This window comes from Homo sapiens, chromosome 19 (assembly GCF_000001405.40).
Source record: "Homo sapiens chromosome 19, GRCh38.p14 Primary Assembly".
Classification (NCBI taxonomy): Eukaryota; Metazoa; Chordata; class Mammalia; order Primates; family Hominidae; genus Homo; species Homo sapiens.
This window is the reverse complement of record NC_000019.10, coordinates 36752254-36771183: the sequence shown is the minus strand read 5'-3', so window position 1 is coordinate 36771183 and position 18930 is coordinate 36752254. Positions and strand designations below refer to the sequence as shown.

The 18930-nt window shown below is 42.9% G+C and overlaps 1 protein-coding gene across 2 annotated transcripts in view; it reads left to right on the top strand.

Annotated features, from left to right (window-relative positions):
* The window catches only part of ZNF850 (zinc finger protein 850), a 29328-nt gene that overhangs the window by 1624 nt on the left and 8774 nt on the right, over positions 1–18930 (top strand). Inside the window, exons 2-4 of one of the 2 annotated variants that reach the window (NM_001193552.2) lie at positions 8509–8589; positions 8753–8879; positions 9446–9541. In NM_001193552.2, the coding sequence (NP_001180481.1) occupies positions 8578–8589; positions 8753–8879; positions 9446–9541 (235 nt within the window). In that variant the 5' untranslated portion in view covers positions 8509–8577. The remainder of the gene's footprint in view (positions 1–8508; positions 8590–8752; positions 8880–9445; positions 9542–18930) is intronic. The other variant, NM_001267779.2, reaches the window with a different exon arrangement.

The window sequence follows — 18930 nt, the reverse complement described above, 5'->3', positions numbered from 1 at the left end:
CGCTCCGACCTCATCCTTTGTGTCCCTGTTCCTTAATTTTCTTGGCCGTGAGAGAAAGAAGGCAAAAACAAGAGCCTTTACCCTAACAACTCAATTGCTGCAGAGATTAGTGCATATTCTATGTGGCATCACACGCCATAGCCCTGGGATTGAAAGCCATGCAGTTTATGGGATGGTGTTAATCTCAGTCCAAATAAGTGATAAGATCTTTCACTTTGCTATATTTTAGGGGTAGGAATGAGATTGGGGGCTCGATCAATAGTTTGTACCAATAACACCAGGGATTTGCCCAGTCATCTGTGAGTAAATGCTTGGGCCAGTTTCCATGTCTGTATTGAATTAAATACTCATACGGTTCTGTGATTTTCTCAAATACAGATTTGGTCTTTGTCCCTATTTCCTCGCATACAACTCCTAAAGTCCTTGGAATCTCTTAAGTGCTGGCTTTTTTTTTTTTTTTTTTTTTTTTTTTTTTTTTTTGATGGAGTCTCTCTCTGTCGCCCAGACTGAAGTGCAGTGGCGCAATCTCCAGTCACTGCAACCTCTGCCTCCCGGGTTCAAGCAGTTCTTCTGCCGCAGCCTCCCGAGTAGCTGGAACTACAGGCACGCGCCACCACGCCCGGCTAATTTTTGTATTTGTTTTTTTTAGTAGAGACGGGGTTTCACCATACTGGCCAGTCTGGTCGCGAACTCCTGACCTCAGGTGATCTGCCTGCCTCGGCCTCCCAAAGTGTTGGGATTACCGGCGTGAGCCACTGCACCCAGCCTTTGGCTTTTTGTATGTTAGTGATTGACCGAAAGCTTCAGGATGGGGGCTGGTCATCAGAAAGACCAAGGCAGGATTAGAGGGTTGAGACTTTGAGCCCCTACCCTCCCACCCCTGGGGAGTGGAGGGGACTGAGGATTAAGTTGATGGCAAGTAGCCAGTGGTTTAATCAATCATGCCTATGTAATGAAGCCTCCTTACAAACCCAAAAGGGGTGGATTCAGAGAGCTTCCAGAGAGCTGAACACATGGTGGTTCCTGGAGGGTCGTGCCTAGGGAGGGCATGGAGGCTCTGTGCCCCTTGCCCCATACCTCGCCCTAGGCATCTCTTCATCTGTATCCTTTGGAATATCCTTATAATCAGCCAGTAAATGTGTTTCCCTGAGGTCTGTGAGCCATTTTATTTTAGCAAATTAATCGAACCCAAAGAGGGGGTCGTAGGAATCCCAAATTGAACCCGTCAGTCAGAAGTTGTAGAGGCTGGGACTTGTGACTGGTGTCTGAAAGGGGACCAGTTTTGGGGGCTGAGCCCTTAGCCTGTGGGATGACAGTATCTCATGGTAGATAGTGTCAGAATCGAATTGGTGGACACCCAGCTGGTGTCTGCTGCAGAACTGATTCCTTGCTTGCTGATGGGGAGAAATCTCCTTGGATTTTGAGGCCACAGAAGTCTTCTGGTTTGATTGTTGTGGTTTTGTTGTGAAGCAGAGGAAGAACATAGTTTGAGTTTTTTCCAAATGGGTTCACATTGGGGGTTCTCAACCTCGAATCCATCAACTCCATCGCTGAATTTTTATTTATTTATTTATTTTTATTTTTGAGGTAGGGTCTCACTCTGTCTCCCAGGCTGGAGTGCAGTGGCACGATCTCGGCTCATTGCAGCCTTGATTTCCTGTGCTCAAGTGATCCTCCTACCTCAGCCTACCAAGTAAGCTGAAACCAGAGGCACACACCAGCACTCTGGCATAATTACAAATAATTTTCACTAGGAAAGACTCACTAGGTTGCCTAGGCTGGTCTTGAACTCCTGAGTTCAAGTGATCCTCCTACCTCTGCCTCCAAAGTGCTAGGATTACAGGCCTGAGCTGCCTCACCTATCACTGATTTTCTTTTTCTTTCTTTCTTTCTTTCTTTCTTTCTTTTTTTTTTTTTTTTTTGAGACAGTCTTACTCTGCCTTGCCCAGGCTGGACTGCAGTGGCACAATCTCAGCTCACTGCAGCCTCCGCCTGCCGGGTTCAAGTGAGTCTTCCTGTCTCAGCCTCCTGAGTAGCTGGGATTACAGGTGCCCGCAACCACACCCAACCAATTTTTGTATTTGTAGTAGAGACAGGGTTTCACCATGTTGGCCAGGCTGGTCATGAACTCCTGATCTCAAGTGATTCACCCACCTCTGCCTCCCAAAGTGCTGGGATTACAGGTGTGAGCCACCACACCCGGCCTTTTTTTTTTTTTTTTAAAGACAGGGTCTCACTCTGTTACCCAGACTGGAGTGCAGTGGCAGGATCATGGCATACTGCAGCCTTGACCTCCAGGGCTGAAGGGATCCTCCCACTTCAGCCTCCCAAGGAGCTGGGTTACAGGCATATGGCACCATGCTGGGCTAATATTTGTATTGTTTGCACAGACAGGGTTTTGCCATGTTGCCCAGTCTGGTCTCGAACTCCTGAGCTCCAGCAATCTTCCAACCTGAGCCTCCCAAAGTGCTGGGATTACAGGGAAGAGCCACCACACCTGGCCTATCACTGCATTTTTAAAGGGAAGGAGGACTATAGTGAGATTCACTAAGGATGACAGAAAAGGTAGAACCCTAGATAGATTTAAAGACAGAGATTACAATATACTTGAGATGAAAATATCCAAATTTAGCTTTCATAGATAGGGAAATTTGAAGTACATCAGACTATAAGGTGGCATTTTGTACAACTAATTAAAACTATGTTTGAAAGAGAGCAATTGCATTTTCATTATTATGAGTAATATTAAGCAACAATGAAAATAAATAGAAATACTTGAGAAATTGTTATATTTAAATCTTCCCTCCTTTTTTGGAAAGAGAAGTATTGATATTTTTAAAGATTCTAATCAAAATTTCTCTTTTAAAAAAATTGATGATTTTATGGAGATAGGGAGGGAATAACCTACGTTTATTGAACACCTAATATTCCACTTACCTGAATGTCATTTACTCTATATTATAGTTTTTTTTTTTTTTGAGACAGGGTCTTGCTCTGTCACCCAGGCTAGAGTGCAGTGGGGTGGTCACAGTTCACAGATGTACACCACCATGCCTGGCTTATTATTTTATTTTATTTTATTTTTGCAGAGACGGGGGTCTCCCTATATTTCCCAGGCTTGACTTGAACTTCTGGGCTCAAGCCATCCTCCTGCCTTGGCATCCCAAAGTGCTGGGATTATAGGCGTAAGCCACTGTGCTCAGCCACTATTATAGTCTTGATAGCAGAAGTGTCTCAGTGTACTGGAAAACTGTCTAAATTTTGAAAAACTATTTAAAAACACGTTGGTGTTATTTGGCCAACATGGATTTCTTTGCTCCATCATTATTTATTGGCATTATTAGCCTGTTGACTTTCAATTTCCTTAAATCCCTTTCACTCCATTTTTGTTTTTTTGGAGTTCTTTTTTTTTTCCCCCAAATAAAAGTTCTTTTTTATTTTCTTTTTTCTTTTTGAGACAGATTCTCGCTCTTGTCACCCAGGCTGGAGTGCAGTGGTGTGATCTCAGCTCACTGTAATCTTCACCTTTCAGGTTCAAGCGATTCTCCTGCCTCAGCCTCCCGAGTAGCCTAGATTACAGGCATGCGCCACCTCAGCCTGCTAATTTTTTGTATTCTTTTTTTTTTGAGATAGAGTTTCACTCGTGTTGCCCAGGCTGGAGTGCAATGGCACAATCTCTGCTCACTGCAACCTCTGCCTCCTGGGTTCAAGCGATTCTCCTGCCTCAGCCTCCCGAGTAGCTGGGATTACAGGTGTGAGCCACCAAACCCGGCTAATTTTTGTATTTTTACTAGAGACAGGGTTTTGCCATGTTGGCCAGGCTGGTCTGGAACTCCTGACCTCAAGTCATCTGCCCGCCTCAGCCTCCCAAAGTGCTGGGATTGCAGGCATGAGCCACTGTGCCCGACTTTTTTGTATTTTTATATTTATTTATTTATTTATATTTTGATACTGAGTCTCGCTCTGTTGCCCAGGCTGCAGTGCAGTGCCACGGTCTTGGCTCACTGTAACCTCTGCCTCCCATGCTTAAGCGATTCTCCTGCCTCTGCCTCCCGAGTAGCTGGGATTACAGGCACCTGCCACCACGCCTGGCTACTTTTTGTATTTTAATTTGAGACAGGGTTTCACCATGTTGGCCATGCTGGTCTCGAACTCCTGACCTCTGGTGATCCACCCACCTTGGCCTCCCAAAGTGCTGGGATTACAGGCTTGAGCCACTGCGCCTGGCCTTTTTCGTATTTTAAGTAGAGACCAGGTTTCACTATGTTGGTCAGGCTAGTCTCGAACTCCTGACCTCAAATGATCTACCCGTCTTGGCCTCCCAAAGTGCTGGGACTACAGGCATGAGCCACCACACATGGCCAAAATACTTATATTTTGAAGGACACAGTTCCCCAATTTTTTCCTGTTTGTGTTCATTTTAAGGAATGGTTGACCACATTCAAATAGATTAGCGTTTAGAAATAAGAAAAGAAACCATAAAGAAAAAGGTAGGCTTCAGTAAAATGCACATAAATTAAAATTTCTATACAGCCCCCTTCCTTAAAGGAATTTAAATGTGGACAGATCGGAGGGGAAAGGTTTGCAGCAAAAATCATAAGTAGAAGGAAACAGAATGGTTAAGTACACAGTGTAGTAGCCATTTAGGAAAGTTATAAGCCATTTAAATGCCATGTATAAAGTGTTTTTGATAAGAAAAAATCAAAGTGTAAAGGAGAATACAAAATTATATGTGTACTGCGGTCACATCTGTATTGTTCTGTGTATGGAAAACAGACTGGGGAGAAATAGCTTTAAGTCCTAATAGTAATTTTCATTTTCTCTCTTCTTTTTTCTGCTTTCTCTTTTCCCTGTCTCCCTCAATATTGCATATCTTTCCCATTAAAAAGTATTGTATTATATATCTACCAACAAGACATTTGTTTCAGATTTTTTGGTTTTGTCTTCAAGGAACATTCTTCTGCATACAACTTCATACTTTTAAAATTCTCTGGCCTGGCTCAGTGGCTCATGCCTGTAATCCCAGCACTTTGGGAGGCCGAGTTGGGTGGATTGCTTGAGGCCAGGAGTTTGAGACCAGCCTGGCCAACATGGTGAAACCCGGTCTCTACCAAAAATACCAAAAAAAATAGCCAGGTGTGGTGGTGTGTGCCTGTATTCCTAGCTACTTTGATGGCTGAGGCACAAGAGTCACTTGAACCCAGGAGGCAGAGGTTGCAGTGAGCTGTGATCACCTCACTGCACGCTAGCCTGGGCAACAGATTGAGACTTGTCTCAAAAAATAAAAATAAAAAATTATTGGCCGGGCGTGGTGGCTCACGCCTGTAATCCCAGCACTTTGGGAGGCCGAGGAGGGCCGATCACCTGAGGTCAGGAGTTTGATACCAGCCTGACCAACATGGAGAAACCCCATCTCTACTAAAAATACCAAATTAGCCAGGCGTGGTGGCACATGCCTGTAATCCCAGCTACTCGGGAGGCTGAGGCAGGAGAATCGCTTGAATCCAGGAGGAGGAGGTTGCAGTGAGCCGAGATCGCACCACTGCACTCCAGCCTGGGCAACAAGAGTAAAACTCCATCTCAAAAAAAAAAAAAAAAAAATCTTTACTTTGGATAAGTACTTAGAAATGGAATTTCCAGGTCAGCCACTAGATATTATTAATGGATTTAATACGAAAAACATTTACTTGAGGAAATATAAAGCTTTAAAAGACAGGGTCCCTATTCTTTAGTTATAAATAAAGCAGCATTTGTAAGGTAATATTCAGAAAACATCAGATAATATCATATAAAGTCCTCCTGTTCATGCTGATGACATTGGATGGCCAGTTAAGGATGACACTTCATTCTGTCCCCTGCAACCACGGTCCTGTCATGTCTAAATGATACTGACCCTATGAGAATGCTGTGGATGTGAAAGCATTTCTTCAAGTTAGCTTTTTGGCCTGCTGGTTTTAATCTAATGATGGGATATCCAAAGTGAAACTAATGGAGTGAAATGATTGTGCATCTGTTGGGAATCAGAGACAGCTAGAGCAAGGGCAGACATGTGCTGAACTCATCTCTCCTAAGAGCCAAAGCAAGCAGCAATGTTGCTAGCAGGGCTACTGCACATCTGTACACGTGGCTCCAATGGTTCTGACTTGTTTTTTTCCTAGTATGACCCTAATACAGGGGGCAAGTTAGAAAATCAGAGTTGCCCGGGCATGGTGGCTCACGCCTGTAATCCCAGTACTTTGGGAGCCAAGGTGGGTGGATCACTTGAGGCCAGGAGTTCGAGACCAGCCTCAGCAACACAGTGAAACCCCGTCTCTACTAAAAATACAAAAATTAGTTCGGCATGGTGGCAGGCGCCTGTAATCCCAGCTAAAGGAGGCTGAGGTTGCAGTGAGCTGAGATCAGGCACTTCAGCCTGGGCGACAGAGCGAGACTGCTTCAAAAAAAAAAAAAAAAAAAAAGGGAAAGGAAAGAAAAGAAAATCACAGCTTGTTAGCCACTTGCAGCTAAAGCAACAACACACATGCACAAAAATTATTCAGTAAAAACAAAACAGTTTTGGCGTATCTTGAGATTTTGTTTTATATCCAAAGGAAGACTATCTTTGAATTACTCTTTGGAAAATGCCTTCTATGTAACAAATGTTGTAGTTTTCTTCTAATTGGGTCTTGAGGTCTCTCAGGAGAATGGCTATAATAAACTCTAGCCTCACCCTAATGGGGCTCTAGGGGAGGGGCTTGTGGGTCTTTACAGTAGCCTTTCACCAGACATTTATTTTTCCTGGCCCACAGCCTAATGCTCAAGTGTCTGACCCATGACCAGGTGTCTCACAGGAAACTTGCTTATACTGGCAGATGCCCCTGTAACTTTTGTCTGACCTGTGTGCAGTTTATTCATACCATGATACTCACTTTTGTATTTTATTTTACTTTATTTTATTTTTTGAGACGGAGTCTTGATCCTTCACAGGCTGGAATGCAGTGGCATGACCTTGGCTCACTGCAACCTCCACCTTCTGGGTTCAAGCAATTCTTCTGCCTCAGCCTCCCGAGTAGCTGGGACTATAGGCGTGTGCCACCATGCCCAGCTAATTTTTGTATTTTTAGTGGAGACGGGGTTTCACCATGTTGGCCGGGATGGTCTCTATCTCTTGACCTCGTGATCCGCCCGACTCAGCCTCCCAAAGTGCTGGGATTACAGGCATGAGCCATCACACCTGGCCTTTGTTTGTTTGTTTGTTTGTTTGTTTGAGACAGGATCTTGCTCTGGTGCCTAGGCTGGAGTGCAGTGGCAGGATCACAGCTCACTGCATCCTCGACCTCCCGGGCTCAAGCAATCCTCCCACCTCAGCCTCCCAAGTAGCTGGGACTACAGGCATGTCCCACCACATCTGGCTAATTTGTATATGATATATATTTTTGTAGAGATGGGGTTTTGCCACATTGCCCAGAATTGGTCTTGAACTCCTGAGCTCAAGCAATTCATCTGCCTTGGCCTCCCAAAGTGCTGTGATTACAGGTGTGGGTTACCACACCCAGCCAATGTACATTTAATTATCGAAGTGCTATCTATACTATTTTATGGAAGTACTAATTAGTGAAGTGCATTAGAGGTTTTTTTTTGTTGTTGTTGTGTTTGTTTTGAGACAGAGTTTCGCTCTTATTGCCCAGTCTGGAGTGCAGTGGTGCGATCTTGGCTCACCGCAACCTCTGCCTCCCAGGTTCAAGCAATTCTCCTGCCTCAGCCTCCCAAGTAGCTGGGATTACAGGCATGCGCCACCACCCCCAGCTAATTTTGTATTTTTAGTAGAGACTAAAATGGTCTCTCCATGTTGGTCAGGCTGGTCTCAAACTCCCGACCTCAGGTGATCCATCCGCCTTGGCCTCCCAAAATGTTGGGATTATAGGTGTGAGCCACCGCGCCCAGCCAATAGAGGTTTTTAAACTTTTTGTAGATATTTTTGAAAGATCCTGTCTTCCTTTAAGAAATGAGGAAAGGCTGGGTGTGGTGGCTCATGCCTGTAATCCCAGCACTTTGGGAGGCCAAAGCAGGTAGATTGCTTGAGCCCAGGAGTTTGAGAGCAGCCTGACCAAATGGCAAAACCTCGTTTCTACTAAAAATACAAAAAATTAGCTGGACATGGTGGTGCACGCCTATAGTCACAGCTAACACAAAGGCTGAGGTGAGAGGATCACCTGAGCCTGGGAGGTTGAGGCTGCAGTGAGCTGTGATCATGCCACTGCACTCCAGCCTGGGCAACAGAACGAGACCCTGTCTCAAAACGAAAACAAAAACAAAAAAATGAAACAAGAGGAAAAAAAAAAACAAGAAAGAAAGTGGTAAGGGAGGAGTGCCTGTTTATTAAGCTTTTGTTGTAAATAGTAATTTGCATATCAGATGTTTACTGTAATATTCTTTCAGCTTTGCTAGGCCTACAGCTTGCTGTGTGCTTTTGTACTCTAGTTCATTTATTTGGGAAATAATATATCAATGTGTTTTATTCATTCCCAGCTCTAACCATGGAATATTCGGAATGTCCCATTCTATGAAGGAGGTTTGCTGGCTGCAACAGGAATATTCATGAACATGGAGGTACTTTGTTGAAGTTACACTAATTTTTTTACTCTTCCCCACTCTCATCCTAGCTGGTCTGCTCACTGTATTCTCTCCATCCTTCAGCACCCTTCCATCTCTTCCTTCATCTTAAAAACCTTTCCTTTAATTTCAACAGCGCTGCATGGGTTTGTCATTTCAGGGGTTGGTCATGTTCCAGGATCTGTCTATAGACTTCTCTCAGGAGGAATGGGAGTGCCTGGACGCTGCTCAGAAGGACTTATACAGAGATGTAATGATGGAGAACTACAGCAGCCTGGTCTCACTAGGTAAGGATGTCTATCCGCAAATAACTCATGAATTTTGGGTGTAGCTTTCAATTGTCTGGGTGACTTTTCACCTGTTGCCTAGGGAATTGTTTTGTGTTTTGTAGATTAATAGATGGGCAGCTCTTTGGGGTCACTCCATCTTCTCCATGCTTCAGAACTCTACACCTTCCTCTAGTCCTTCATGAGGACTAAGGGACTAACTTTGAATTCAGGAACAGCAGGAGTATGTCTCACTTCTTTTCTTTTTTTTTTTTTTTTTGAGACAAAGTCTCACTCTGTCGCCCAGGCTGGAGTGCAATGTCATGATCTCGGTTCACTCCAACCTCCGTCTCTCGGGTTCAAGCGACTCTCCTGCCTCAGCCTTCTGAGTAGCTGGGATTACAGGCACCCACCACCATGCCCAGCCAATTTTTGTATTTTTAGTAGAGACAGGGTTTCACCATGTTGGTCAGGCTGGTCTTGAACTCCTGACCTCAAGCAATCCACCTGTTTTGGTCTCCCAAAGTGCTGGGATTATAGGAGTGAGCCACCATGCCTGGCTATCTTACTTCTTTTCTTATAAACAGGTCTCTCTATCCCAAAGCCTGATGTGATTTCCTTACTGGAGCAAGGGAAAGAGCCCTGGATGGTTTCAAGGGACGTGCTGGGAGGATGGTGCCGAGGTGAGTAAGGACTGAGCACATGGGGAAGACACTGCTGTTTAGAAGCCAGCCTGTCAGGGAGGCAGCACCGTACAGGTATTGGTTGAGGAGTCTCTTCTTCAAGGTCCCATGTAAGGGTGGTGGCCTAAGACACATGAAGAGAAGTCACGATACACCCCCACACACACTTTTTAAAATTTTATTATTTATTTATTTATTTATTTTGAGATGGAGTCTCGCTCTGTCGCCCAGGCTGGAGTGCAGTGGCATGATCTCGGCTCATTGCAACCTCCGTCCCCAGGTTGAAGCGACTCTCCTGCCTCAGCCTTTGAAGGAACTGGCATTATAGGCATCCACCACCATGCCCAGCTAATTTTTGTATTTTCAGTAGAGACGGGGTTTTACCATGTGGGCTAGGCTGGCCTCGAACTCCTGACCTCAAGTGATCCACCTGCCTCGGCCTCTGAAAGTGCTGGGATTACAGGTGTGAGCCACTGCGCCTGGCCAAGAATCCCCTTTTACTTCCACCTCTTCAGTCTGTGCTACCCTCTTGTCATAATTTCTTCCCATTTCAAAGAATAAAGTTCCCTTCTTCGGGAGCCATCCTGTTTCCTCTGTCTTCAAGCTACTTCTTTCCCTTTGAAATTTAAACCTGTGTTCTTGCTTTAAAAAATTTTTTTTTCAAAATATATTTATTTTTCATACTGATCCTTAACTTTTTTTGTGTGTTGTCTTGTCTAGTTTTCCTTTGATGCAGACATTTCATGCATCAATGGATATTCATTCACTTTATTTTTTTGAAACAGAGTCTTACTCTGTCACCCAGGCTGGAGTGCAGTGGTGCAATATTGGCTCACTGCAACCTCCACTTCCCGGGTTCAAGTAATTCTCCTGCCTCAGCCTCTTGAGTAGCTGGGACTACAGGCATGTACCACCACAACTGGCTACTTTTTGTATTTTCAGTAGAGACAGGGTTTCACCATGTTGGCCAGGCTGGTCCTGAACTCCTGACCTCAGGTGATCCACCTGCCTCGGTCTCCCAAAGTGCCAGGATTACAGGTGTGAGCCACCACGTCTGACCTCATTCACTTTTAGTCAAAATTTATTGACTTAAAAAAAAAATCATAAAGCCTTCTTTTCTTGGTGGGTGACAGTTATGGAAGATATAAGCTATCAGAATTACAGTCTAATAAAGGGTTTATTTATTTATTTATTTTGAGACAATATCTCTTTGTGTTGCCCAGGCTGGAGTGCAGTGGAGTGATCTCGGCTCACTGCATCCCCTGCATCCTGAATTCAAGCAATTCTCGTGCCACAGCCTCCGGAGTAGCTAAGATTACAGGCACGCGCCACCACACCTGGCTAATTTTTTGTATTTTTAGTAGAGACAGGGTTTTGCCACATAGCCTAGGCTGGTCTTGAACTCCTGAGCTGAGGCAATCTGCCCACCTCGGCCTCCCAAAGTGCTAGGATTACCGGCGTGAGCCACCACACCCAGCCTAATAAAGGGTCTAAATCATTGTATAAATCACTTTCTAAAAAGTAGACTCAACCAGGAGATTTCTAATATGGTGCTTAGAAGAAAGAACTGTAGATATAAATGTGAAGGAATAGGATATGCCTGCTTTTAGGAGGAAAAGGTACACTGAAATGATTGTGTATAAAAGAGGACAATAAGTTAAATATAGAAGACTTAAGTGTCAAGGAAAAGGAGTGATCCATTTTCAATAAGTTGGTGACAATGTTAACATGGACAAAAATTGGGCTGTAAGTAGCATAGACTGAGGGATTTTTCTTTTGAAGTAGAAAAGATAAGGCATTTTGTTTTTCAAAATGTGCTTTTAAGTAATGCAAACTATCCATTTTAAAAAGCGTTTTAATTGTAGGATATAGATGACTATTTCCCTTTATCCATAGAACATTACAAAAAAATTTTTTTTTAATTATTAACTTGATTACGGAGGTCTTTGAACATACACAAAAGTAGAAAGGATGGTGTAATGGACATCCCCCAAATCCATTTCCTAGCTGCAGTAGTTATCAATGAGTTTCCATGTTTCCAATCTTACTTGATCTATGCCTGTTGACCTCTGCACCTTCCCTTAACTAAAGCAAGTCCTGGATATCATGAGTTCAATAATATTAAATGTATAGGTAGCTTTTCAGTGTTGCTTCTTCTTTTTTTGTTTTTGTGACAGGGTCTCTCTGTTGCCCATGCTGGAGTACGGTGGCACAATCACAGCTCACTGCAGCCTTGACCTCCAGGACTCAAGTGATCCTCCCACCTCTGCCTCCTGAGTAGCTCAGACTACAAGCACACACCACCACACCCAGTCAATTTCTAATTTTTTTTGTAGAGATGGGTTCTCCCTGTGTGCCACGGGCTGGTCTGGAACTCCTGGGCTCAGGCAGTCCTCCCACTGCCTCACTTTCCCAAACTGCTGGGATTACAGGCATGAGCAACTGTGCCCAGGTGTTTCTTCTATTTAAAATGACTGCTCTGATGTATCTTTATTTAAATGGACATTTTCATATTTAATCTTTCAGATGTGAGATTCCTGGGCCAATATTTTTTTTTTTTTTAGACGGAGTCTTGCTCTGTTGCCAGGCTGGAGTGCTGTGGCACGATCTTGGCTGACTGCAACCTCCGACTTCCTGGTTCAAGTGATTCTCCTGCCTTAGCCTCCTGAGTAGCTGGGATTACAGGCATGTGCCACCACACCCAGCTAATTTTTTTTTTTGTATTTTTAGTTGAGATGGGGTTTCACCACATTGGCCAGGATGGTCTTGATCTCCTGACCTCGTGATCTGCCTGCCTTGGCCTCCCAAAATGCTGGGATTACAGACATGAGCCACTACACCCGGCCTGGTTTTAACTTTTTAAAGCTCATGACAGTCTAGGACAGAAATGCATGATCCACTGGAGCTGCCTCATCCAACTCAGTTCAGACAAGTATTCGTAGCTGGTTAGTTAATTTAAAAGTTTAAAGTGAAAAGATCTGATATGCCACAACCATATGATTTTAGATGAGAGCATTTAATCAGAGATGGGTGGATCACTTGAGACCAGCCTGGCAAATGTGGCGAAATCCCCTCTGTACTAAAAATAAAAAAATTAGCCTGGTGTGGTGCTGCATGCCTGTAATCCCAGCTACTTGAATGACTGAGGCACGGAATTGATTGAATCCAGGAGGAGGAGGAGGAGCAATGAGCCGAGATCACACCACTGCACTGCAGTGTGAGTGACAGAGTGAGACTCTGTCTCAAGAAAACAAAAAAAGAACTTTTTAATTTTCATGATACAATTTTTAATCCATGAGCTTTTGTAAATGTTTTGCCTTTAATTTTTTCCCATTTTTAATAGTTGTTTTTGTTACTGAATTTATTTATTTGCTTACTTACTAGTCTCTGATAGTAGGGCAAAGCATTTTGTTTGAAAATGGGCACCCTGCTAGGAGTTCTGCCTCATTTTGTATACATACTACACCTGTAAGGCATGAGTCGTCATTTAAGGTTTTAGTTTTTTATGTGAAGGGACAACACAAAGGTTCTTGCAATCCAGTTTCAACAGATGGTTCATGAAAGCTGTGCTGTTCCATACAGTAGCCGCTAGCTACATGGGGCTAATTAGATTTAACTGTAAAGTAATTGAAATTAAAATGAAAAATTCACTTTTTGGCCAGGCACAGTGACTAACACCTGTAACTCCGGGGCTTTGGGAGGCTGAGGCAGGAGGATTGCTTGAGTCCAGGAGTTCAAGGCTGCAGTGAGCTGTGATTGCACCACTGCATTCCAGCCCGGGTGGCAGAGCAAGACCCTGTCTCAAAAAGAAAAAGAGGCTGGGCGCAGTGGCTCACACCTGTAAATCCCAGCACTTTGGGAGGCTGAGGTGTGCAGATCACTTGAGGTCAGGAGTGGTCTGGTCAACATGGTGACCAGCCTAATCAACACAGTGAAACAACATCTCTACTAAAACAAACACACAAAAAATTAGCCGGGTGTGGTGGCAGTCACCTGTAATCCCAGCTACTCATGAGGCTGAGGATGGAGAATCGCTTGAACCCAGGAGGCAGAGGTTGCAGTGAGCCAAGATCACACCACTGCACTCCAGCCTGGGCAACAGAGCAAGACTCTGTCTCAAAAAAAAAAAAAAAAAAAAAGAAACTATATTTCCTGTTTGTGCTTCCTTTTTATGTTTCATCTTTTCTACTTCATTATTTGGTTTTATTTTCTTACTAATTTTTAGGAGTGACTCATTCATTCATTTTTTCATTTATTTATAATTATGGTAAAACATACATAACATAAATGTATTACTATTTTAACCATCTTTGATTGTATTCATATTGTGCAACCATCTGCACATTCATTTCTAGAACTCCTGAAATTCCAACATAATCACGACGGATCTACCCATTTGGGTTAAGAAAAGCTTCTATTTACTAGTTATCTTATTGTTAGCATATCCCAACGGACCCCTGCCAAAGTTTGCCCCTCAGATAAACAAAAATTCAACACTATATAGCATGGGAATATTCATTGCTGGCTAGGAACAGACCATCTCTGACACTGCCAGGAAGCATCAAACTAGCCAGTCAAATGAAAATGTGCCTACATTTGGAATGAGTAATCTCACTTTTTGGACTGTCTGCTACAGAAATAAAAGAAGTAGCTAATTCTGATATATACAGAAACACATTTCCTGGAACAGCAGTAACAATCTAAATGGGCATTAACAAAAACTGTTACAGGCCAGGCTCGGTGGCTCACGCCTGTAATCCCAGCACCTTGGGAGGCCAAGGCGGGTGGATCACGAGGTCAGGAGTTCGACACCAGCCTGGTCAACATGGTGAAAACCCCATCTCTACTAAAAATACAAAAAATTAGCCAGGCGTGGTGGCGCATACCTGTAGTCCCAGCTACTTGGGAGGCTGAGGCAGGCAAATTGGTTGAGCCCAGGAGGCGGAGGTTGCAGTGAGCCAAGATCATGCCATTGTACTCCAGCCTAGGCAACAGAGCAAGACTCTGTCTTGAGGGGGAAAAAAAATGTGACATTATGGTATATCCACATAATGGGATATTATGCAGCTATTCAAGGAAATGAAGTAAATCTATAAATAGTAACTATATAACTATCCTTTATCTGTTGTTATCTGGGGGGAAAAGTTGCACATCAATATGTATAGGACAATTCTATTTTTATAAAAAGAAAAAAATGCACACATAGATACACATACATCACATATGAATGGGTGAATATGTGGATGTGCATCAACTTGGGAAAAGAAACACTCCAGACAAGAATGCATTCCTCTGGGGGTAGAAAAACATGTGTTCCAAATAGAAGTAAACATTTGCAAATACACATCTTCCTGGAAATAAGGTTATGTAGTGTGCTGAAAGTATAGTTGAGATCTTAGTGAACAAGTAGGTGATATGGCACTTAAAACATTGGCTCAAGGCCAGGTGCGGTGGCTCATGCCTGTAATCCCAGCACTTTGGGAGGCCAAGGCAGGTGGATCACAAGGTCAGGAGATTGAGACTATCCTGGCCAACATGGTAAAACCCCGTCTCTACTAAAAACACAAACATTAGCTGGGTGTCATGGCGGGCGCCTGTAATCCCAGCTACTAGGGATGTTGAGGAAGGAGAATCGCATGAAACCAGGAAGCGGAGGTTGCAGTGAGTCAAGAACACACCACTGCACTCCAGCCTGGCAACAGAGTGAGACTCCATAAAAAAAAAAAAAAAAAAAAAGGCTAAAAACTAGATATATAAAAAAACTATGTAGTTACTTTATTTACTAGTGGTGTCAAGACTTTCTAACTTCTTTAAGCATTATTAAACATAATAATTCTCTTTAATATTAGTATTTGAAGCCTTTTGGTTCTGTTTCTGCTGTTTTTTTTCTTCATGTGATTTCCCATTTCCCTGTACGTGTTAGTTTTTTTGTTTTTTGTTTTTTTTTTTTATTGCGAAGTGCTCTCTCTTTCCTTGAAACTTTGTGAGAATATTTTGAGCGTTGAGTTGAGGTTGATTTCGTCCACAGAGGTTTTGTCTTTGCTTTTTGCCTGTTGCCTAAGACACAGCCCGGCCCATGATACAATTTTTATTGTCATCACTTAGCATCAAAGTAATTTTTAGGCCAGGTGCGGTGGCTCATGCCTGTAATCCCAACACTTTGGGAGGTGGGTGGATCACTTGAGGCCAGGAGTTTGAGACCAGCCTGGCCAACATGGCGAAACCCTTTCTGTACTAAAAATACAAAAATTAGCTGGGTGTGGTGTTGCATGCCTGTAATCCCAGCTACTCAAATGGCTGAGGCACAGAACTGATTGAACCTGGGAGGTGGAGGTTGCAGTGAGCCGAGATTGCACCACTGCATTCCGGCACGGGTGACAGAGCGAGACTCTGTCTCAAAAAAACCGAAAAAGAATTTTTTAATTTGCATGATGCCATTTTTAACCCATAAGCTTTTGTAAATGTTTTGCATTTAAATTCTTTTCCCATTTTTTATTCCTGAATTCAACCTTAATTGCACTATAGTCAATATTTACATGGTCAGTATGAGACCAGTTTCTGGAAGTGTGTTCAGACTTACTTCACGCACTGCTGAATTGTCAGTGTTTTTGTGGGGGTGGGGATTCACGTGTTCCTGTGCTTTCTTTTAATTGCTGCGTGTAGAATTCTCACATGTTCAACATATCATGCTTGTTAATTTGATGTAAAGATCCTCTGTATCCTTTTATATTTTCTGGGTGCTTGACCTCTCAGTTATTAAAAGAGGTGTATTGAAATCTCCCACAATCAGCCGTGCGTGGTCGCTCACGCCTGTAATCCCAGCACTTTGGGAGGCCGAGGTGGGTGAAACACAAGGTCAGTAGCTCAAGACCAGGCTGGTCAAGATGGTGAAACCCCATCTCTACTAAAAATACAAAAAATTAGCCGGGCGTGGTGGCAGGCGCCTGTAATCCCAGCTACTTGGGAGGCTGAGGCAGGAGAATCGCTTGAACTCGGAGGGCAGAGGTTGCAGTGAGCTGAGATCGTGCCACTGTACTCCAGCCTGGGTGACAGAGTGAGACTCCATCTCAAAAAAAATAACTAAAAAAAAGAAATCTCCCACAATCAAGATGAAGCCTAAACTTTTTGTATTTTCTCAATTTTTACTTTGCATATTTAGAGTTTATTTTACTGGATGCTTACAAATTTAGAATTGTTATATCTTTTTGGTGAATGAACGTTTTATTATGTAGTAATCCTCTTTATTCCCAAGAATGTTTTCACCTTAAAGTCTATTTTTTTCCAGTGCTAAGACCCTAGCTTTCTATTCATGAATACTTGCCTGATTTTCATTTTCTTAGTTTTTACTTCAACTTTTTTGTGTCCTCATGTTTTTAGTCACTTTTTATTTTAAAAGGGTTGAAATTTACTTTTTCTTTGTTTACATTCCTTATAATTAGTGATGTATTTGGATTTTTTTTTTTTTTTTTTTGAGACAGGGTCTCTCTCTCTCTGTTGCCCGGGCTGAGTGCAGTGGAGCAATCACAGCTCACCACAGCCTCAACCCCCTAGGCTCAAGCAATCTGCATACCTCAGCCTCCCGAGTAGCTGAAAATACAGGCACAATCCACCTCTCTTGGCCTGTTTGAATTTTTTTAACCAGCTTATTCTATTTGTCTCACTTTTCCTGTCTTCTGTTGCCTGTTTTATTTTACACTGTTTTAGATTTGAGGTTTTAAAAAAATCTGATGCCCATACTTAGTTCGATTCCACTGATTTGGAAGTTGAAAGCATGGACTCTTGAGCCAGATTGCCTCCATTCAAATCCTAGCTCTGCTATTTAATACCTCTATGACTTTTGGCAATTTACTTAACCTCTCTGGTCCTCATTTGCAAATATATATGCTATTCACAGGATTCTTCTGAAGATTAAATGAGCTTATATAGTAAATGTGTAAAGCAGTGAAAATAGTGCCTGGCATATAGCAAGCATGGTGTGTAAGCTATTTTTTTTTTTCCTGTCCATTTTGTTCTTATTATTGGGATTTCATCATGCATAATTTTTTTTTAAGAGACAGGTTCTCCCGTGGTCACCCAGGCTGGAGTGCAGTGGCTTGACCACAGCTCATTGCAGCATTGACTTTCCGGGCTCAGGTGATCCTCCCGCCTTAGCCTCCCGAGTACCTGAGGCTACAGGCATGTGCCACCACACCCGGCTTTTTTTTTTTTTTTTTTTTTTTTGAGACAGTGTCCCAGGCTGTTGCCCAGGCTGGTCTTGAACTCCTGGGCTCTGGTAATCTTGCAGTCTTGGCATCCCAAAGTGTTGGGATTAGAGCCATGAACCACCATGCCTGGCTTATAGAACTTTTACTTTTTTTTTTTTTTTTTTTTTCCTGAGATGAAGTCTCGCTCTGTCGCCCAGGCTGGAATGCAGTGGCACAATTTCGGCTCACTGCAAACTCTGTCTCCTGGATTTAAGCAATTCTTCTGCCTCAGCCCCCTGAGTAGCTGAGAATTCAGGCGTGCACCACCATGCCTGGCTTATTTTGTATTTTTAGTAAAGTCGGGGTTTTGTCATGTTGACCAGGCTGGTCTTGAATTCCTGACCTCAGGTGATCCACCTGCCTCAGACTCCCAAAGTGCTGAGATTACAGGCGTGTGCCACCGCACCTGGCCCCGTAGAACTTTTAAAATTTACCATCCATGGCACTCATGGCACCTCAGATTTTTTTTAGAAAACCTCATCACTTCTGAATAAATTTTAGCTGTTCCATCTTGAATATAGTTTGCTCCCTGTTCTTTCAGTATTACTTTCAGGAAGACAAATGAATTCTTTGACTTTTCTTTATGACTTTTAACCTTGCTTTTGCATTTCCAGTTATTTAACCATTCCAGTGAGGTTTTGTTGTTGATTTCTTTCTCTTTTTCTCCTTGAAATTTATATGTTGAAGAAACTGGATCATCTGTCATTTAACATTTAGCTCTCCTCCCTTTACTCCTTTCTTTCCTATAAACAGACTATGTGATATTAGTATTGTGTATTTCATCAAGAAGCACATATCTGGTTGTTTCTGTTTTTGTGAAGTTAGCAGCCATTCCTCATCTCATCCCCTAAAAATTACTAGGTAATTTTAAAATTGTCCTTATGAACACACAGATTTAAAAAAATTTGATGTGATTTATTGTAATTACATTACAATGATTACAGTTTTTATTCTTGAATTCATGCTCAACTTGTCCCATCTTTGGCCAATGGGACCCTCTTCACAATGGTTCCTGAGTCTTTTTGACATGACCCTAGGAGTCTTGAATAAGCTTCTTTGCTTTTCTAATATGCCAGCTTTTTCCATGCTCATAATGCACACTTTCTGTTCTAATCCCAAGATGCTCCAAGGAGCCTAGGTTCTGTG